Source organism: Homo sapiens, chromosome 5, assembly GCF_000001405.40.
Source record: "Homo sapiens chromosome 5, GRCh38.p14 Primary Assembly".
In the NCBI taxonomy this organism is placed as follows: domain Eukaryota; kingdom Metazoa; phylum Chordata; class Mammalia; order Primates; family Hominidae; genus Homo; species Homo sapiens.
The window spans coordinates 71,618,557-71,641,349 of NC_000005.10; the positions used below are offsets into that span (position 1 = coordinate 71,618,557).

Genomic DNA, 22,793 nt, shown 5'->3' on the forward strand with positions numbered 1-22,793 from the left:
CTTTCTCTTTCTTTTTGTAGAGGTGAAGTCTTGCTGCTCAGGCTGGTCTTGAACTCCTGGCTTAAGTTATCCTCCCACCTCAGCTTCCCAAAGCATTGGGATTATAAGCATGAGCCACTATGCCAGGCCAAATTTCTTTTCTTTATAAATTACTCAGTCTTGGGTATTCTGTTATAGCAGCAGCAAACAGTCTAAGACACCAATTATGGTTTCCATGTCTGGCTTTTTAAGTGTGAGACTTAGAATCCTCCTCAGAAGTGGGATCTTCATGTGTGTTTTCTTTAGGTCTCACATTACTTTTGATTTTTATAATTGAGTGATAGTCTAGTTTGCTGTAGATTGATCTTTGCTCTGGTGCATTGGTTCTCTTTCTTGTTTTAGTATAAGCAACAAGGTTTTTGTTTGAATGAACAGTTTGTTTCTTCTGAAATAGGCATCATTCATCTAGCCATGCTTAGTTGCAGTTCCTCAGGCCTTTCTCTTTTCCTTTGTGTTGTATTCTGCCTATTTTCACTTCTTTTTGGAGACATATTTAAAATTATTCTCAGGTTTCCCTTTCTCCCCCCTACCTTACCTCCCTCCTCCTCCCCGCTTGCCTTAGCTTATTATTTTTGAAATGTATCTTGTTGGTTTTCACTGTTTTGACCTTGGTAATTGTTTTGAGGAGCTTAGTTAGGATAGGTACTGCATCCTTTTTCTTTTTTTCTTTTTTTTAAAGACAGGGTCTCACTCTGTTGCCCAGGCTTGAGTGCAGTGGCACAATCACAGCTCACTGCAGCCTTGACCTCTCAGGTTCAAGTGATCCACCTGCCTCAGCCTCCCAAGTGGTTGGGACTTCAGGTGCACACCACCTTGCCTGGCTAATTTTTATTTTTATTTTTGTAGAGATGGAATCTCACTATGTTGCCCAGGCTGGTCTCATACTTCTGGGCTCAGGGAATCTTTCTGCCTTGGCCTCCCAAAGTGCTGGGATTACAGGCATGAGCCAATGTGGCCTCTCGTTGTTTTATTTGTTTATTTATTTTTCGGGACAGGTCTCTTTATGTTGCCCAGGCTGGTCTTGAACTCCTGGGTTCAAGCAATCCTCTTGCCTCAGCCTCCTGAGTAGCTGGGATTACAGGCGTGTGCTACCCTGCTTGGCTTGTTTTAAAAATGCATTTCAAAGCAGGCACGGTGGCTCACACCTGTAATCTCAGAGGCTGAGGTGGGCAGATCACGAGGTCAGGAGATCGAGACCATCCTGGCTAACATGGTGAAATCCCGTCTCTACTAAAAATACAAAAAATTAGCCGGGCATGGTGGTGGGTGCCTGTAGTCCCAGCTACTCGGGAGGCTGAGGCAGTAGAATCGCTTGGACCCGGGAGGTGGAGGTCGCAGTGAGCCAAGATCACGCCACTGCACTCCAGCCTGGGCGACAGAGTGAGACTCTGTCTCAAAAAAAAAAAAATGAATTTCAACCTGTGATGGAGATGGATAGGGCCTAGGAGAAACAAAATCACTGTTTGATTTCTTTGAGGCTCTCTGACAAAAAGATTGAGGAGGAAACAGAACATACTGGATAAGACTGACTTTTTGGATTCTTTGTGCATTTCAATCTATCCAGTTGGCATAGGTAAGCATGACTACTATCAAATCAGTGGTATTGATCAGTCAGTATAGTTGATAACGTTCTTAAATTCTTGACAGCTATTGAATTGAGATGTATATTTTGTGGCTTTTATTTTTTAATGGTGGCTCTTCAGGTAGGGGCAGGAAAAATGGGATGTGGGCAGTAATATCTGCTTTCTACTTTGAATTGAAAAAGAAGTAAGGTGACAGATTTAAAAAATTATTATATTTTTAATGGCTTTTCTATCAAGCAGTTGGACCTTTTTTCTCCCTCCAAGTTATATTACATTTATCACAGCATTTCTATGAATTGGATAGTATTCTACAATTTTGCAGGGAGGAACTGAGGTCTAGAGTTCACCTAGCTTTTCAGAATTAGATAAAAAATCTCTTAGCTCTCTGTCAGAGACCCTTTCCATGGGGCAGGCTGTTGACCTACAATATGTAATTTGCTTTTGGTGCAAGGAGACCCAGTCTCTATTTGTTTAGGCAAGACCTAGAGGGTAATGAAATTCAATCTAAAGCTTTTCTGGATGATTACCTCTGTTTTGTAGCATCTCATTTGCTTTTGCTTGGAAATGTTGCCTGTGCCTTCTGTGGAGGGGATGACAAGTATTGTTACTGTCAGGTATGTCTCATCCTCATCCTTCTTGCACGTTCTTACTCTTGATTCAAGTCTTAGAATCACCTCACCTTGCAAGAGTGATCTCTGTTTGTTCCTGTCACAGAGCAGGCCCATCTCACTGGTGACTGGGTGGACGGTAGTCTCTCAGTGGAGTTCTTTGGAGTTCACCTCTGTCCTGATGCAGATGCAGGTCCCTGTGATGTCTGTCCTGGTACAATGCCTATGTTGTGCCACATCACAAGCCAAATCTCTGCCTCTGAGTCTGGTCAGAAAAGTTTCTGGTCATGCATCTTATGTCTTTTCAGTGTCCTTAGGTAACGTCTTTGTGGTACCACCAGTGAATGCTTTGGGACATGGCAAGTTGTTAATGCTGTTTGGCCCTGGGATCCCTGTGCTTTGTGAGAGAAAGAAGCAGATACAGGAAGAAGCAGATACAGCTGGGCACGGTGGCTCATGCCTGTACTCTCAGCTTCTTAGGATGCTGAGAGGTAGGAGGATTGCTTGAGCCAGGAGTGCTACCTGGGCAATATTGGGAGGCCTCATCTAAAAAAAATAAAAATAAAAAAGAAAGCAGACACAGTGGCAGAACTCTTGTTCCATTCACTTTGTCACCTTTTGGGAGTAAGTGAATGACTCAGAACTAAATGACAAGGATTATTAGTTGGGCGTGGTGGTGCACCTGTAGTCGCAGCTACTCAGAAGGCTGAGGTGGGAGGATCTCTTGAGCCCGGGAAGTCAAGGCTGCAGTGAGCTGTGTTTGTGCCACTGCACTCTAGCCTGGGCAACAGAGTCTCAAAACAAAAAGAGAGAAGAGATTGTATGACATTGAGTGACAGTGACTAATCATTAATTAGTGAGCTCTTTTATCTCTGTTTTTTAATTTAATTTTTATTTCTGTCATCAGAATTTGCTTTTAGCAATATTAAGATTTTGCCTGTTGATTACCAGAGGCTGGGAATGGGAGTAGAGGTTGGGGGAATGTGAGGATGGTTAATGGATACAAAAAAAAAAAGAAAGAATGAGTAAGACCTATTATCTGATAGCACAACTGGATGACTGTAGTCAATAATAATAACAACTGCACATTTAAAGTAACTTAAAGTATGTAATTGGATTGTTTACAACTCAATGGATAAATGCTTGAGGGGATAGATACCCATTCTTCATGATGTGCTTATCTCACATTGCATGCCTGTATCAAAACATCTCTCGCTGGGTGTGGTGCCTCATGCCTGTAATCCCAGCACTTTGGGAGGTCAAGGTGGGAGGATCGCTTGAGCACAGGAGTTCAGGACCTGCCTGGGCCAAGTTTCTGGTCATTCATCTTACATCCTTTCAGTGTCCTCTTAGTGGAGAATGCCATAGAATTTTCTTTCTAGGGTTTCAGATCACTTGTCCAGTGAGCTTTGTCCAGTGTAGGCTCATGTAACGTCTTTGTTGTACCACAGATGAATGCAACATGGCAAAACGCCATCTCTACTAAAAAAAAAACAAAACAAAACTCAGGTACCCCATAAATATATAGACCTACTATGTACCCCCAAAAATTAAAAATAAAAACAAGATTTTGCCTGTTAGATACTTGTTTGAGAATTTTGACTCCTTTGTACTTATTTTTTTGACTCATTAAAAAAATTTTTTTACAGCTTCGTTGAGATATAATTCAAATATCATATAACTTACCCATTTGATGTGTACAATTCAATGGCTTTTAGGATATTCACAGAGTTGAATGAATCAATTTTAGAATATTTTCATTCCCCCAATAGCAGTCACTCCCCATTTCTACCCAGTCCCCTGCAGCCCTAGGCCACCACTAAGCTACTTTCTGTCTATAGATTTGCTTGTTCTGGACATTTCATGTAAAGGGAATCATATGATAAGTAGTCTTTTGTGACTGGCTTCTTTCACTTAACATAATGGTTTCCTGGTCTTGAACTCCTGGCTTCAAGCAGTCTTCCTGCCTTAGCCTCCTGAGTAGCTGGGATTACAGGCATGTGCTACCCTGCTTGGCTTGTTTTAAAAATGCATTTCAAGGCAGACGCGGTGGCTCACGCCTGTAATCCCAGCACTTTGGGAGGCGGAGGCGGGCGGATCATGAGGTCAGGAGATCGAGACCATCCTGGCTAACATGGTTTCCATGTCTTGCTCCTGGTTTTCCTTCGCTCTCTGGGATGGCACAGAAAGTTGTACATATTTCTGCAGTACGTTTCATAAACTGTTCATGAAAAAAGAAAAAAAAAGTTCTACATATTGTCTGCCATCTCTGGAATAGTTGAACAGGTTAGATAGGTTCTTTGAAGAACAACAATAGAAAAGTACTTCCAAACAAAGTCTGTCTCAAGTCTTCAGATGCACTTCAATTGTAGTCACTTAAGACAGATGTTTTTTGATCTCTGTATTAATTGTCCTATTGTAGCAGAACAAATTGTCCCAAAACTTGTGCAGTGTAAAACAAGACACATTGATTATCTCGCAGTTTCTGTGCGTTGGGAGTCTGGGCGCAGTGTAGCTCTGGGTCTCTCACGTGGCTGCAGTCATCTCGGAGCTTGACTAGGAAGGACCCACTTCCTGGCTCACTCCCATGGCTGTTGGCAGGGTCCAGCGCTTTGGAGGCCTGTTTCTTACGAGCTGCTGGCCAGCGGCCTTCCTCAGTTGCTTGCCATACAGCCTCTTCCTAGAGCAGCTCACACCATGTCACGTGACTTCATCAAAGTGAGAGAGTGAGAAGACAAGAAAAGAAAGAGGGCCAGCAAGAGCAAGAGGGCCAGCAGGATGGTAGACAGTTTCTCATGGCCTGACCACAGAGGTGACAATCCATCACTTGCCATATTCTCTTTATTACAAGTGAGTCACTGGACCCACCACATATTCAAGAGGAAGGAACTGCACAGAATGTGAATACCAAGTCACGGGTTTGGGGGGACCATTTTAAAAGCCTGGTTACCAGAATCTCCTGTCCTTTTCTGAGCTTGTGTAGCTAGTGTCAGAGAGGTGGATTGCTGGTTTCCTTGGTTGTTGAGGAACTGTGGAGAAATGTGTCGGAAGTGCCCTTAGCCATATGGTAAAATTCCCGGAAGTAGATATGCTAATAATTTGTCAGCTATTCCCTTGTGAGACTTTTCTAGATCTCTCTTCCATCCTTCTTCCCCTACTCAAATGGTGTCTTAGTCATTTCCAGCTGCTATACCAAATTATCATAGACTACTGGGTGTCTTAAAAAACAGACATTTATTTCTCATAACTCTGGAGGCTGGAAGTCCCCAGAGATAAGGGTACGAGCATGGCCTGGTTCTTGATCAGGGCCCTGTTCTTGACTATGTTCTCACATGGTGACCAAAGAGATCTCCTGTCTCTTCCTTATAAGGGCACTAATCCCATGGGGAGGGGGGGCCCTACCTCATGACTTCATCCCACCAAATTACTCCCCAAAGGCCTCTGCCTCCGCATACCATCACTCTGGGGAGCAGGGCTTCAGCAGATGAGTTCGGAGGAGACACAAACATTCAGTCTGTAGTAGATGGTATGATGGCATTTAGTTTCATTTCTCTCACCTTTGTCTTACTACATTTCTTTCTTCCTTTCTTTTTCTTTTTCTTTTTTTTTGAGACGGAGTTTTGCTCTTGTTGCCCAGGTGGAGTGCAATGGTGTGATCTCGGCTTACCGCAACCTGTGCCTCCCGGGTTCAAGCCATTCTCCTGCCTCAGCCTCCCGAGTAGCTGCGATTACAGGCATGCACCACCGTGCCTGGCTAATCTTGTATTTTTAGTAGAGACGGGGTTTCTCCATGTTGGTCAGGCTGGTCTCAAACTCCCAACCTCAGGTGATCCGCCCACCTCAGCCTCCCAAAGTGCTGGGATTACAGGCGTGAGCTACCACACCCAGCCCCTGCTTTCTTTCTTTCTTTTTTTTTTTTTTTTTTTGAGATGGAGTCTTGCTTTGTCGCCCAGGCTGGAGTGCAGTGGCGTGATCTCGGCTCAGGGCAACCTCCGCCTCCCAGGTTAAGTGATTCTCCTGCTTCAGCCTCCTGAGTAGCTGGGTTTACAGGCATGCAGCACCACACCCAATTAATTTTTGTTTTTTTAGTAAATACTGGGTTTCACCATGTTGGCTAGGCTGGTCTTGAACTCCTGGCCTCAAGTGATACACCCACCCCCACCTCCCAAAGTGCTGGGATTACAGGCATGAGCCACTGTGCCCAGCCTGTCTAACTACATTTCAACACAATAATTCCTCTTCCTCTGTTTCCTCCCTGACCTGCCTCCCTCATCTTGGTCTTTGAATTCTTGCTGACAGTTGCTTTCTCCTCCTTTTGCTCTCTGGTTGTTTTCATGGGACTCTGCCATGCCTGCTTAGTTCTTTAGGTATTATTTTTGAAAACTGTTCCTTTTTAGATTTGACATCACTGTGACTCTTCTGTAAGTTCCTTGACTGTATTTCTTTTTGGATACTGAAATAGTTTGAGCTGAACTCAGTGTTCTGGTACAGAGAACAGGATGCTAAGGTAAAATTGTGTCCTTTGCTTCCCACAGAAATTTGAAAAAGAAAGCCCATAAAATGTTTCAAACATGCAGAAAGTATACAGAATAATAGAACTGAATGCTGGTGTGCTCACTCCCTGGGTGTATTAAGTGTTAACATGACATTTTGTTATCTTTGCCACAGATTTGAAAAGAATGTACTCATTTAAAAGTTTATTTATGTGTTCAAAATATATTGATGGACATGTTGGTTATTTACATATTTTTGCTATTGTAACAATGCTATGTGAGTGTTTCCCTGTGCTCATAGGCAAGTTTTTGTAGCCATAGATAATCTGTAACACAAACTTCTGGGTGATTGATAAGCAAAACTGTAAGTGATAATCACTTCTGTAATATGTTGACAAATAAATGTTGAAGCCACTTTCAATAACATACATGAAAGCTTTAGTTGAGGAAGAATGCTTTTTGTGTTGGCCATTTAGATGGAAAAATGCTAACTCATGTTACCTTTCATCTTTTGATTATACCAGTATGGCATGCTGTTTTTCAGAACATGCTGTTTGCATGCCTATAAGGAAAACTGATGGAATATTGGAATTAGTAGCAAAAATTGCTTTCATATGATAATTTAAAAAATATTCATTATATACTTTATTTTTCCTTGGTGGTATCGTTCAATCCTATTTAGGAGTCATCAGCCAAACCTATATTTATTATTCTTTGTACCATCCTAATTTCTGAGCAAGATTTTTTTAAAGCTTTTTATTATGGAAAATTTTAAACACACAAAACTAGAGAAGATAGTACTGTGAACCCTATGTACACATCACCCAACTTCAATACAATCGACTTTTCTTTTGAGGAAGGCTTTAAACTGCAATCTTAACATTAGTTTTATATTTAGAAAGTATTACATCCAGCGTAACACAAAATATTAATAACATCCATTTGAAGAGTTATTTTAGTATTCCTGTGAGGTAACTGGCAAATGTTTAGAGGACTTATTATTATTATTAGACATAAAAGTCATCCTTTTAATACAGTTTTGCAAAATTATAGGTATATTGTGGATTTCTTCTCTCCATTAGTTTTTCAGGCCAGTAGTCTATCAGGCCAGTCTTCTCTCTGACAGGGAGATTGTCCATAAGTTTTGTAAAAGTGAGACATAAGCCCTTCAAAATGTTTTGATACAAGAAGTCAGAAAACTATTTCAAACATTTAGAGGACTTTGTTTTTAAAATGATGTTCAGGGACCAACCAGTAATATCCCCTGGTCACTGCAGTGTTTGTGGGATTCTGGATCAAACACTATAGAAGTCACTGCATGAGCTGCATCTCATGTGTTTGTCGTGTGCTTGGATTCCAGATCGCAGTGGTCATGGGCTCCTGCACCGCAGGAGGAGCCTATGTGCCTGCCATGGCTGATGAAAACATCATTGTACGCAAGCAGGGTACCATTTTCTTGGCAGGACCCCCCTTGGTAAGAACATAAGAACGTTGGTCGATGGAAATTAAGTATGCAGAACATAAAATACACCATTTAAACTATTTTTTGATGTTTTAAAAAATATTGTGATAAAATATGCATAACATAAAACTTACTGTTGTAACCGTTTTTCAGTACAGCTTGGTGACGTTTAGTATGTTCATATTGTTGTGCAACCATCACTACCATCTATCTCGAGAACATTTTCATCCTCCCCAACTGAAATTCTCCCTATTTCCGTCACCTCTGCCACCTCGGCACCACCATTCTACTTTCTGTCCTTATGAATTTGACTATTCTAGGTATCTCACATGTCAGTGGAATCATATAATATCTGTCCTTTTGTGATAGACGTATTTCACTTAGCAAAACGTCTTCATGGTTCTTCTATATTGTAGCAGATGTCAGAGTGCCCTTCAGTGTTAAGGCTAAATAATGTTCCATTGTATGTATACACTGTATTTTGTTTATTCATTCATCCATCAATCGATATTTGGGTTGCTTCCACTCTCAGGCTATTATGAATAATGCTGCTATGAACATGGGTGTACAAATTTCTATTCAAGTTCCTGCTTTTATTTTTTTGGGTATATACCTGGAAGTGAAATTGTTGGATCATATGGAATTCTATGTTTACTTTTTGAGGAATCACTTCATTCCTTTTTATGGCTGAATAATATTCCATTGTATGGTTATGCTGTGTTCTAGCTATCCATTCATCAGTTGATGGGCATTTAGGTTGCTTCTGCTTTTGGGTATTATGAATAACGGCGCTTTGAATGTATAGGTTTTTGCATGGAAATGTTTTTATTTCTGTTGGATATGTACCTATGAGTAGAATTGCTGGATCATGTGGTAGCTGTGTTTAGCATTTTGAAAAACTTCTAATCTATCCAATACATGTTTTACATTTCTACCAGCAGCATGTGAGGGTTCTGATTGTTCCACATTCTTGTCAACACTTGTAATTGTATGTTTGTCTGATGACAGCCATCTTTGGGGGTGTGAGGTAGTACCTCATTTTGGTTTTGATTTGCATTTCCCTAGTGACTAGTGATGTTGAGGCTTTTTTTTTTTAACTTTTTAATTTTTATTTTTTATTGAGGCAGAGTCTCACACTGTTGCCCAGGCTGGAGTGCAGTGGTGTGATCTTGGCTCACTGCAACCTCCACCTCCCAGGTTCAAGTGATTCTCCTGCCTCAGCCTCCCAAGTAGCTGGGATTACAGGTGCACGCCACCACTCCCGGCTAATTTTTGTATTTTTAGTAGAGACAGGGTTTCACCATGTTGGCCAGGCTGGTTTTGAACTCCTGACCTCAGGTGGTATGCCTGCCTCAGCCTCCCAAAGTGCTGGGATTACAGGCATGAGCCACTGCACCTGGCCAAGGCATCTTTTCATGTGCCTGTTGGCCATTTGTATGTCTTCTTTGGAGACATGTCTATTCAGATTCTTTCTCATTTTTAAATTGGGCTATTTGTCTTTTTATTTAGTTGTAAGAATTCTATATGTGTTCTGAATACAAGTCCCTTATTAGATTTGCAAATATTTTTGCTCATTCTGTAGGTTGTCTTTTTTACTTTCTTAGTGATGTCTTCCTTTGAAGCACAAAAGTTTTAAATTTTGATCACATCCAGTTTATGCATTTTTTCCTTTGGTTTCTTGTGCTTTTGGTGTCTTATCCAAGAAGCCTTTGCCTAACCCAAGGTCATGAAGATTTACTCCTCTGTTTTCTTCTGAGAGTCTTATAATTTTAGCTCTTGCATTTGGGTCTGTGATCCATTTTGAGTTAGTTTTTGGGTGTGGGATAAGGAAGGGCTCCAGCATTGCTCTATATGTGGATATGCAGTTGTTCCAGCATCATTAGTTGAAAGGACTCTCCTTTCCCCATTGAATGGTCTTGGCAGAAAAAAACTTTTACTTATTTTTTCTTTTACCTCAGCTATACAATTGTTTGACTCAAGGTCAATAACAAGTTAATAAGCTGTTAAGAGAAAGCAGCAAGATTCCTACAGTGTATTAACTTTTGTGTAAAATGGAGAGAAATATACATTTGTATACTTCTATATGCATAAAGAAGTTCTAGAAAAGATACGAAAATACTGCTTAAAATGTAGAGGAGAGGAAACAGGGTAGAAGAAAGACCTTTGATTTTTTTGACCCTGAGACTGGGTACAGTGGCTAATGCCTGTAATCCCAGCGCTTTGGGAGGCCAAGGTGGGTGGATCACTTGAGATCAGGAACTCGAGACCAGCCTGGCCAACATAGTGAAACCCCATGTCTCCTGAAAATACAGAAATTAGCCAGGCATGGTGGTGTGCACCTGTAATCCCAGCTACTCTGGAGGCTGAGGCAGGGGAATTGCTTTACTGGGAGGCGGAGGTTGCAGTGGGTTGAGATTGCGCTACTGCACTCCAGCCTGGGCAACAGAGCGAGACTCCATCTCAAAAAAAAAAAAGAAAGAAAGAAACAGAAAAGGACAAATAAATGATTTTACTTCTATGAAATATTGAGAATAGGCAAATTCATGGAGGCAGAAAGTAGATTAGTTGTTGCCAGGGACTAGGAGGAGGGTGGAATGGGAGTGACCGCTAATGAGGATGGGGTTTCTTCTGGGAGTGATGAAATTTTCTGGAATTGGGTAGTGGTGATGGTTGCACACTTTGTGCACTTTGTGAATGTACTAAAAGCCACTGAATTGTATGCTTTAAAATAGTGAATTTTATGGTATGTGAATTCTATTCCAAAAAGTTTGTTGCTTCAAAAATTTGTCCAAGAATCATCTTTGGTTATGGAATACTAATACAAATTCATTAGAAAGAATATGTTAAATAGAGCTTATGTTTTGATGTAAAATAAGTATATTTCCCAAAAGAGGGTGTTAATTTTTAATAACTTTTACTGAAGATCAGGTAGGCCTGAAGGGCTGCCATTTCAAATGTAAAAGTCTTAAGGCATTATTTTAAAAGCCTGCAGCCATTATTATTATTATTATTATTATTATTACTATTATTATTTTAATTTATCTCTTGTATGTGATAGCTGTCATTTGTTAATGAGAGGAAAATGCACTCAAAATTTACCTTTGTATAGTAAAAGGTACAAACTTTCATGGGCCATTCTTGTTTATTTTTTGACTAGAAAATGAGTAAAGATATGACTACAATTTGAAAACATCTTTTTGGAAATACAGGCAGATCATAATAGTGGAATAATGCGAAGGGTTTTAGAGAGAAGATTTTGTCTAAGGGTCAGTAGTTACAATGTCCATTCAGTTAACTTGTACCTTATAAAGAAGCCACTTGGCAGCCAGGGAAGCCTGAAGTTCTGTTGGAGAACTGGACCCCATCCAGCAATCCACCTTTGAAAGACCATGTTCACAGGGAGAAAAAGGCAGTAGCAGCAGCCTCATCCTTTAGAGAATTCTAAATTCTGACGCACGCTTGACCGAATGTTGAGAAAGGGCTTTGAAGGGTTTGCACGTAGTGTGGGGTGTAGTGCTGTAGCTTTTAGTAGCTTAGAGTAGTTGAAAAAAACAGATAGTAAGACAAGTTTTTGAAGGCGCTTTTTGTTCTCCTGTCTTTTGTTTATCTTTTGAACTTGTCATTTAGTCAAATGAGCTGTTTTAATTTTCTCTTTGACTTCTATCATCTTTGCACCTATCACACTATCAAACGTTGTGGGTGTTCAATAAATATTAACTGATGACAAATTCTTATTTTTTTTTTTGGTTGATATTAGTCAGATCCCTGAAAATAAATATAATTTATCTGTTGTTTATTCCTTTTTGCAACTTTAAATATCCAGACACCTCTTATAATTTGTTATTGTCTGGACTGAATGTTATTTTACACTAAATGTTTTGGAAGGAAAAGAACCAAGAATTTAGTTCTGGGGGTGGAATAATTGGAGGTGAAAATTTTAACTAACTCTCTCTGCAGAAGGATATTTAAGACAAAGCTTTTGATGTAGAGAGTAATAAGTTGTTTCTATGCTGTATTTTCTTTTCTTTTTTCTTTTTGTTTCAGGGCTCCCCTCAAGAAAGACTTTTTCTTTACCTTCAACCTCTCTGTGCTATATTTTAGATTAATGTTCATTATTCTAATAAAAGCTTTTCTTATTTGAGTTGATTAATTTGTTTCTTTTTCTTCAAAGAAATAGGAATCAATAAATAATTCCTAAGGGGTTGGATTGGCATTTAGCCTTAAATTATTTTTCTTTCTTTTTCCTGGTAGAATTTCTCTGGCTATAATTAAGTTATTCTTAATTTATTACTGGAGTTTGTTTCTTTTTGGCCACATTCTGCTAGATCTTAGGTTTAGGTAATCTTGGAGATTTTTTTCCTACCTCTCTTTCCTATGCAGAGTTTGTGATAGTAAATGGAATTTTTCAGCATGTTATTGAGTATTCAAAGATGAATAAATCACAGTTCCTGCCACCAAGGAATTCACAGCATAGAGGAGATGACAGACATAACATGCACATTACTGAACTACATTCTGACACATGCCGTGTTGGAGGTGTAAGTGCAATGCCCTTGGACCGTGGATAGGCAGGCAGTCCTCTATTAATACCATGGAGAAGGCCTGGGCGGGTCAGGAAAGCTGTGTAGAGGAGGCAACTTGAGGTGGGACTTGAAGGGTAAGTGGGAATTCGTCAGGTAGGTGAGAAGAAGAGATCCCAGGCAGTGGGAGGAACACACACACAGACACAAAGTCTTGACCACATGTGTCAGGGCAGCATGACATAGGGAAAGAGGATGGCCTTTCAGGTCTTTCTTCTTTTTTTTTTTTTTTTTTTTGAGACGGAGTCTCGCTCTGTCGCCCAGGCCGGACTGCAGTGGCGCAATCTCGGCTCACTGCAAGCTCCGCTTCCCGGGTTCACGCCATTCTCCTGCCTCAGCCTCCCGAGTAGCTGGGACTACAGGCGCCCGCCACCGCGCCCAGCTAATTTTTTGTATTTTTAGTAGAGACGGGGTTTCACCTTGTTAGCCAGCATGGTCTCGATCTCCTGACCTCATGATCCACCCGCCTCGGCCTCCCAAAGTGCTGGGATTACAGGCGTGAGCCACCGCGCCCGGCCAGGTCTTTCAAGCTGGAAACGTGTGGGCTCAAATGAGACTCCATTGCTTGCTATGGACTGTAAGCAAGTTCTTTGTGACTCTGGGCTTAGATTTTTCACCTGTAAGAGTAAAGATAATAGTCTCCAGGTTTCCTAGGTGCATGAATGAGAAAGCACAGTGTTCTTTAGTTCTATGGAAGAAAAAGTACAGGTATAGTCAGGTGAGGAGTTGTGCATGTTGGGGAAGCATTTTTATATGTCTGATGGACCGATTTCACTGATGATTTTTATCCTTGTTGTAGGTTAAAGCGGCAACTGGGGAAGAAGTATCTGCTGAGGATCTTGGAGGTGCTGATCTTCATTGCAGGTGAAACAGAAATGGTTGTTTCTTTCCGGGATTGAGTGTCATTTTGTTTGTTTGTTTAAAAGAAGTTTTACGTATTTGTTTCCAGTGCTAAACTTGCCAGACCACACCACAGTTTATTTGTTCTTGATCTGCTGGTTTAATGTTCAATTCTTTGAACTGTAGAGTTGCATTTCCAAGCTAGAGCATCAGCCAAGAAGGACTGGAGAGACAGGTTTCTTATTTATTTGACAAACATTCATTGGGCACCTGTTATGTAGCAGGCACTGTTCTGGGTGCCTGAGGTAAGAGGTAGATACTATCTTTGACTTCGAGGACCTTATATTCTAGTCAGGGAGGTGGGCAATTGCAAGTAATTGCACAAAATTATGTAAATGTGGCTGATACGCGATAAGGCTTACAAAGGAGAAGAGGGAAGAGCATAGAGGAGGTGGGTCTGCCCTGGGGTGTACAGTTAAATGTTTAGTAACTGGTTCTCTGGGGAGGAAAAAATGCCCCGATCTGTGGCATTTGCCAATTTCTGTGGTATGAGTGATCCCACCATGGCTGATTTCAGGCTGCCAACATGATGCCTCTATGTGGAATCAGACACAGATGCACGTAGTTGGCTCTTGTGAGTTAGCTGTGAGCTGGCTTCGTCACATTGTTGGCCTGACCATGTTAGGTTAGAGTGCAGGGGTAAGAAGACCCTCTACCTCCTAGAATGTTGTCAGAAGTCAATGAGATACAATACATGTGGATTGCTTTAGAATGAAACTATACCTGCTTTTGATAAGTTAGCTATAAATGTTGGTTGCCATTATGATTATTTTCTTGTTTGTCATCATAGTTGCTCAATAAAGGTTTTAGACTTTTTTTTTTTAGGAGTAATTGGGAAACAATTGAGGAGGAGGGTTTTTTTTTCAGTTTTATATATATATATATATATATATATATATATATATATATATTTTTATTTTTTGTAGAAACAGGTGTCTCACTGTATTGCTCAGGTTGGTTTAAAACTCCTTGCCTCAAGCAGTCCTCCTGCCTTGCCCTTCCGAAGTGCTGGGATTACAGGAGTGAGCCACTGCACCTGGACTAAATTTTTAAGCAGTTTGACTATTTAAAAAAAGTAAAGCTGTAGGCAATATATTATGTTAAGGGTGTAGATTCTGGAATTTAACTTCCGTTTGCCTCCCCTATTCCCCTTGGGACTTAGACAAACTGCTTACCCTATCTGAGTCTCATTTCCTCATAGATAAAGTGAAAATTGTGAATAGTGCCTGCCTCATAACACAGCATCTACTACATATAACAGTAATAACTCTATTACTGTTATTCATAATAACCTGTTTAAAATTGTGAGGAAATGATTGGGGGTGATGAATTTTTTTTTTTGGAAAGTACCATGAAATTTATTAGTCACAAGTGGCTCTGTGTTCTCTCAAATGCATCTTTATACCTCTCTTAAGTCATCCTTAAGAGCTAATTTGACACAAAGACTTATATATACAGTGTATCATTGAAGGTTTTCCTTTCCTGCTGTTTTGGTAAATACTAGACAGTTTTCATAAAAAAGCATTTTATTTTAAATATTTACTGATTTAGAAGCTGTTCCTTCTGCTTCTATTTGACTTCTGACAGTGTAGTTATAAGTCAGCATTTATAACTGGTATTATGTATGAAGCATTTAAAATATATGGTCAGTCATAACATGATAAAATGTTGTATTAAATTAAAGAAACTGAAAAAGATCTACCATTTGTGAGGCATCTGTGGGCTATGAAAAAGAGTAAACGTGGTCTCTGCTTTTACTCAGGAACTCCCAGTCCTAAAGTAGAGTGTCATGAAATCACTGAGAGCCTAGCTCTAAGATATGTCTCCCAAGGAGTTTGGTGTTTTCCCAGGCAAGCCATAAAAATTTAGATTGCAGCAGCTTAGTCCTTACTCATAAAATGAACAAATTATTTTTTTCAGGTATGTATTTTTGACTGACTTTACAGAGTTTTAAATACTTTATTAGAAAGTCATAGTTTATCTACATTTATCTACTATTGAAATAACAGGCCATCTAATTGGGACAGGACTAATAACCAGAGCAAGCCCGTACTTCATTCACTGCACTTGAAATTGAACAGGAACTTCCATGGCCCCTGCCACAGAACCGTTTTACTAGTTCCGATTTTTACCCATAATCCAAGGGCCAATGTATTCAAGCCTTTTCATTTGTTGCCTGTGATGGCTTACTGTCAGTGTAACTTTGTAGGGAGGGGGCTCAGAGTTCTCTCAGAAATGAGAGGCCAGAATTGGCATCTCCATTAGGAGCTCAGTTACGTACACAGTTTATGCCGTAACCAACTACATCATGAAAGTGTGCCGTCTGTGGTTGGCCTTCATCACACGCAATTCTGCTTACGGTACAGGGGATGAGTACTTAATAGAAGCCTTTGTCAGCAAGGCCCCTTGGTCTAGCAGAGGAAGGTTAAGGTTAGAAAATAGAAGGCGGGGGTTCTTATGTAGCTACTTGTGGTCTTAGGTGAAGGTACTTAACTTATGCGTACTTCAGCTTTTCCTGTTTGTAAAACAAAGGGAATACAGTTTTGCCAGAGTTCTTAAAAGGACTACTTAAGATGACATTTATTAAAGATGACAAATTTTTTAAGTGTTTTAGAAGTAAAAGTGCTGTCATCTTTAGATGAGAGAAGATACTTGGGACCTGAGATATTTAATTATTTTCCTTTTCCCTGTTCTGACAAGTTTAGTTTGCTTATTCTGTAGAAAGTCTGGAGTAAGTGACCACTGGGCTTTGGATGATCATCATGCCCTTCACTTAACTAGGAAGGTTGTGAGGAATCTAAATTATCAGAAGAAATTGGATGTGAGTACGATATGTTCTTATATCTTTTATTTTCCTGAAATGCATTTTGACTCACTGCACCTTGAAATCATGTCTTTAAACAGGTTAACATGATCTATATTTCTGCAGGTCACCATTGAACCTTCTGAAGAGCCTTTATTTCCTGCTGATGAATTGTATGGAATAGTTGGTGCTAACCTTAAGAGGAGCTTTGATGTCCGAGAGGTATGTGAAAGTGGAACTGTGAGCTTTATGACCAGCTGTGAGTCTCTTTGTATGTGTATCTATTTGCAAAGCTAAAGTTTGTTAAGATATGTTCATGCCTAGAAATAGATGTGGATCTCAGTAAGGAGTGACATATGTGGCAATGATACCTTTCCATACTGTGGATATCATTGGCACAGAGTAAATACTGAAAGAGGGGAGTGGGGGACCTCAATGATTGGAAAGTTTTCATTGCGCAAAAAGTGTGATTTGGTCATAAGTAAGACTCCATGTCCTGTGCACATTATGAATGATGTAAGGCAACTTAACAATTGTCAGCTATTTCTTTTCATTGTTCTTATTTTGGGAAATGGGTGAAATGTCAGTAAGTTGTTGGAAGAAAAAACATACCCTTTTAGATCAATATGACATTTGCAATGATTAGACCTGATTACAGTTGAAAATGTTGCTATGGTTACACATTGTCGACATAGTGTTCTGTAATTTAGATGGACAACTTTTAGGGTTTAGAGCATATAGTCTTTTATTTTGTTCAGTATCCATAGTTGGCAGAGTAGTTTTTAAATTAGGAAATTATCTTAATATCAAATTCTGTACTGGAAGTTTTAATATTTCAAATTATATTTTCCCCTTGACTATAAAATATTATATATTAGTTGTGAAAAATATAGAAAATACAGAAAAGAAAAAAATTAAATTGCATATAATTCCACCCTCTAGAGAAGGTGGCTAATATTTGGATGTTTTAGGTTAATGTGTATATACGCACATTTTTATGTAGTTGAGATAGTCTATACGTATATTTTTTTGTTTTACTTTTTCTAGTTTAAATTATAAACATTTTCCCATGTCTTTAGAAATTCTTCATGAAATATTTTCTACGGCTAGATCTTAATTCCTATAATAGTACTTGGCAACATGGTAAGTAGTCAGTAACTATTTTCTGAATGCATTGATGGATATAATGTTCTGTTGTATGGATTTATTTAGGCAATACCCCAGCATTGCTAGTGGGTCTTAAATCCTGGATTTTATTGAGCTTCAAGTGATACTTCACTTTAGCAAACGTGACTTAGTTAATTGTAAATTTTTAAATGAGGTTTTTAGTTTAACTTTTAATTAATTATAAGCACAGGAAAAAATGGTACTTAAACTCTGACATACTTGAAAAATGTGTTGGGCCAGGCGCAGTGGTTCATGCCTGTAATCCCAGCACTTTGGGAAGTGGAGGCAGGCAGATCCCTTGAGTCTAGGAGATCAGCTGGCTAACATGGTGAAACCCCATCTCTACTAAACATACAAAAATTAGCCGGGCGTGGTAGCACATGCCTGTAATCCCAGCTACTCGGGAGGCCGAAACAAGAGAATCGCTTGAACCTGGGAGCAGAGGTTGCAGTGAACCGAGATTGCACTACTGCACTCCAGCCTGGGTGACAGAGTGAGACTCTGTCTCAAATAAATAAATAAATAAATAAAGATAAAAATAAACAAATAAATAAAAGAGAAAAATGAGTTGTTCCAGGTAGCCAAGTTCTCTGGTTGGCTGAGAATTCACCCTTTTTCGTGTAACCACTGCAACCACTGCTTCCCAGGTTCAAGCGATTCTCCTGCCTCAGCCTCCCGAGTAGCTGGGATTACAGGCACCCGCCACCATACCTGGCTAATTTTTGTATTTTTAGTAGAGGCGGGGTTTCACCATGTTGGTCTGGCTTTTCTCGAACTCCTGACCTTAGGTGATCCGCCCACCTCAGCCTTCCGAAGTGCTGGGATTACAGATGTGAGCCACCACACCTGGCCAATTAATACATTCTTTTAAAAAAAATGTATTAAAGTTATAGCTTTTAAGTTCAGCTTAAAGATACATTATTCTATGTATAAGTCTAGGAAATTTTAACATTTCCCCCCTTCTTCCTAAGAAATTTTCAAATATGCTGAGATGTTCAAAGAATAATACAATGATCACCTGTATATGAACCTCATAGAGTCAACAATTGTTAGAACTTGTGTCATTTGTGTGTGAAATACATTTTAAAGCACAGGCACACCTCAGATACATTGTGGGTTCAGTTCCAGATCACTGCAATAAAGTTAATATCACAATAAAGTGAGTCACATGAACTTTTTGGTTTTCCAGAGCATATAAAAGTTATATTTATACTATATTGTAGTCTGTTCAGTGTGCAGGAGCACCTTGCCTTTAAAAAGTACATACATTAATTTAAAAATACCTTATTGCTTTTAAAAATGCTAACAATCATCTGAACCTTCAGTGAATCATCTTTTGCTGGTGGAGGGTCTTGCCTTGATGCTAATGACAGCCAACTAATCAGGGTAGAGGTTGCTGAAGGTTGGGGTGGCTGTGGCAATTTCTTAAAAGAAGACAACAATGAAGTCTGCCACACTGACTGACTCTTGCTTTTATGAAATATTCTCTGTAGTATGCAATACTGTTTGCTAGCATTTGATCCAGGGTAGAACTTTGTTTTTTTTCAGACTGAGTCTCACTCTGTCACCCAGGCTGGAGTGCAGTGGCGCGATCTCAGCTCACTGCAAGCTCAGCCTCCTGGGTTCATGCCATTCTCCTGCCTCCTGAGTAGCAGGGACTACAGGTGCCCGCCACTGCGCCTGGCTAATTTTTTGTATTTTTAGTAGAGACGGGGTTTCACCGTATTAGCCAGGATAGTCTTGATCTCCGGACTTCATGATCTGCCCGCCTCGGCCTCCCAAAGTGCTGGGATTACAGGCATCACCCACCGCGCCTGGCCCAGGGTAGAACTTTCAAAATGAGTCAGTCCTCTCAAACCTGACTACTGCTTTATTAACTAAATTTATGTAATACTCTATATCCGTAATTGTCATTTCACAGTGTTTGTAGCATCTTCACCAGGAGTACATTCTATCTCAAGAAACTTCTTTTTTTGCTCATTCATAAGAAGCAGCTCCTCATCTGTTCAAGTTTGAACATGAAATTGCAGCAGTTCAGTTACATCTTCAGACTCCACTTCTAACTCTAGTTATCTCCACCACATCTGAAGTGACTTCATCCATTGAAATCTTGAACCCCTCAAAGTTACCCATGAGGGTTGGAATCAACTTCTTCCAGTATCTTTAATTTAATTAAATATCCTTAATGTTGATATTTTGACCTCCTCGCATGAATCGTGAATATTCTCAATGGCATCTAGAATGGTGAATCCTTTCCAAAAGGTTTTCGATTTACTTTGCCCAGATCTGTCAGAGGAATCACTATCTATGGCAGCTATAGCCTGAGGAAATGTATTTCTTTTTTTTTGAGACGGAGTCTCGCTCTGTCGCCCAGGCTGGAATGCAGTGGCGCAATCTTGGCTCACTGCAACCTCTATCTTCCAGGTTCAAGCAATTCTCCTGCCTCAGCCTCCCAAGTAGCTGGGATTACAGGTGCATGCCACCATTCCCAGCTAATTTTTGTATTTTTAGTAGAGACAGGGTTTTACCATATTGGTCAGGCTGGTCTTGAACTCCTGACCTCAGGTGATCCACCCGTCTTGGCCTCCCAAAGTGCTGAGAATACAGGTGTGAGCCACCACGCCCGGCCCAGGAAATGTATTTCTTAAATAATAAGACTTAAAAGTAAAAATGACTCCTTGCTCCGTGGGCTACAGAGTGGATGTTATAACAGCAGGCATGAAAAGAACACTCATCTCTTTGTGCATCTCTATCAGAGTCTTGAGTGACCAGGTATATTGTTAGTGAGCAGTAATATTTTGAAAGAAATCTTTTTTTCTGAGTAGTAGGTCTCAACAGTGGCCTTAAAAATTCATTAAACCATGCCACAAATACGTATGCTGTCATCCAGGGTTTGCTGTTACATTTATAGAGCACAGGCAGAGTAGATTTAGGATAATTCTGCAACTTAAAGTCACCAGCTGCATTAGCCTTTAACGAGAGAGTAAGCCTGTCCTCAGACGACGTGCACTAACCTCTCCCCAGCTATGAAAGTCCTAGGTGGCATCTTCTTCCACCAGAAGGCTGTTTCATCTACACTGAAAATCTGTTGTTTAATGTAGCCACCTTCATCAATGATCTTAGCTAGATCTTCTGGATAACTTGCTGTAGCTTCTATAATACATCAGCACTTGCTGCCTCACCTTATACTTTTGTGGTACAAATGGCTTTTTTTTTTTTAAACCTCATGAACCAATCTCTGCTAGCTTCAAATTTTTCTTCTGCGACTTCACCTATCCAAGCCTTCAGGGAACTGAAGAGAGTTAAGACCTTGCTCTGGATTAAAGGGAATGTTGTGCCTGGCTTGATTTTCTATCCAGACTACTCAAACCTTCTCCATATCAGCAACAAGGCTGTTTTTGCTTTCTCGACATTATGGATTTTTTGTGAAGATAAGTGAATGTATTTTATGTGGCCTGGTGGTGTTAATTGTAATGCAAATACAACATAGTTTTTCACTAAATGGTCCTAAATTGCTGTGCCCTTTGAGCAGCCGTATCTCTGTGTGGAAGAATGATAGTTGTTACGTGTTGATTGCTTGTTAAAGGTACAATTTTTACAGGTATATAGCACCCAAAACAGATAACTGTTACATTCCCATTGTATTATTGGATTTTTTAGGAAAAGAAGTAAAAAATAATTCAGAGTAAACTTTTACTTGATGGTGAGAAAGATGTTGGGAAGCATTCACTCAGTTTTCAGCCTTTGCATCATACAAAACAAGATTTTGATTGATGTGGCAGACAGAAAAAGCGAAGTGCAAACTATGTAGAAAAATAGTATGTATCATCTAAAATAGTTTCTGAAATTGAAAATATGCTTCCTGTTTAGAACTCCTTACAGTAGTCCTGATATATAATGATAAGCCCCAGGGATAAACTATTTAGTAATTTCCACTCCTTTATACATATGTGGATGATCCTTCAAGTATACCAGATTCAGAATCAATGAGTCTTTATTAAGTGCTTAATAATAGTGATAGCTACACTTTAATGAGAGCCTGACAGTATGCTTTAGTTAGCACTTTATTTTTATTTTTTACTTTTTTATTTTTCTTTTTTCTACCCTGTTAACTGATAGTGCTGTTTATCCTTTTATTTTTTTTTCTAATTTATTATTTCTTGCTGAAAGGAATAGTTAGCACTTTTTACATTTTTTTTTTTTTTTTTTTTTAACAGATGAGGAAACTGAAGCTTAAAGAATTTTCTAGTTTCTCAGTCGGAGAGCTGGGAGTCAGAGCTGGCTTTTCATGTCAGCATGATTTTTGTAGGTTCCTACTTCCTTACAAGTAGATCATATCTTCACAGCTCTTCTGTTCCATCATTCCAGAAGTGAGAACTGAGACTCAGAGGGGTGAAGTGACTTACTCCAGGGCATACCAGTCATACTTGATACCTTAGATTGGAGCCTGTGTCTTTTGACTCTGAGCCCTGTCTCTACCCAGCTTTCTCATTGCATCCCTGAACCTCTGCCGGTACATTCGAACAGTCCTTGAAGCTCTAAGTCTAGCAACCAGCCCTTGGAGCCTTTCCTGCTTTTCTTGCATGCAGCATGGTGCTGTTGCTTGTATAGTGAAGTATAAAATCAGAACCCAGAATGACTTCAGGGCATTAACCAGGCATGTCAAATGAAATTCTAGTGAGATTTTCTGTGTAGTGTGAAATTTTGTGAAAGTGACAACTTCACTGTGAATTGTTTTCCTATAAGTAACTTTAATACAAAAATTCTTTTGCAATATAATTTCTCAAGGCCATTGTTGTTTTTCCTCTTAGGTCATTGCTAGAATCGTGGATGGAAGCAGATTCACTGAGTTCAAAGCCTTTTATGGAGACACATTAGTTACAGGTATAAAGGTGAAGAATTGAAAATACGAACATTTTCTGCTGCTTTGAAAATCAGGAATCTCTTGTTTCAAGACTTTGATACACTTGACATGGGCTTTGTTGTTGAGAGCACTACAAATGTGTGAGCCACTTTTAAAAGGAACTGCTTTATAAACATAATTTGTAGCTTAATGGCTTCATGGATCCAAATAGTTTAAAATGTTAATAGCTAGATGCTGTGGTGTGGGTCCCTATCTGTGACTTTGTGACATTAGTTGTATAAAAAGGTTCTTATA

At 39.7% G+C, this 22,793-nt stretch overlaps 1 protein-coding gene across 7 annotated transcripts in view; it reads left to right on the forward strand.

The window, feature by feature from the left end:
• Nucleotides 1-22,793, forward strand: part of MCCC2 (methylcrotonyl-CoA carboxylase subunit 2) — a 71,367-nt gene that overhangs the window by 31,217 nt on the left and 17,357 nt on the right. For 2 of the 7 annotated variants that reach the window (NM_022132.5, XM_047417468.1), the window contains exons 7-11: nucleotides 8,084-8,197; nucleotides 13,565-13,629; nucleotides 16,387-16,486; nucleotides 16,595-16,690; nucleotides 22,447-22,519. In NM_022132.5, the coding sequence (NP_071415.1) occupies nucleotides 8,084-8,197; nucleotides 13,565-13,629; nucleotides 16,387-16,486; nucleotides 16,595-16,690; nucleotides 22,447-22,519 (448 nt within the window). The other 5 variants (XM_011543529.3, XM_017009688.2, XM_047417470.1 and 2 more) reach the window with 5 other exon arrangements.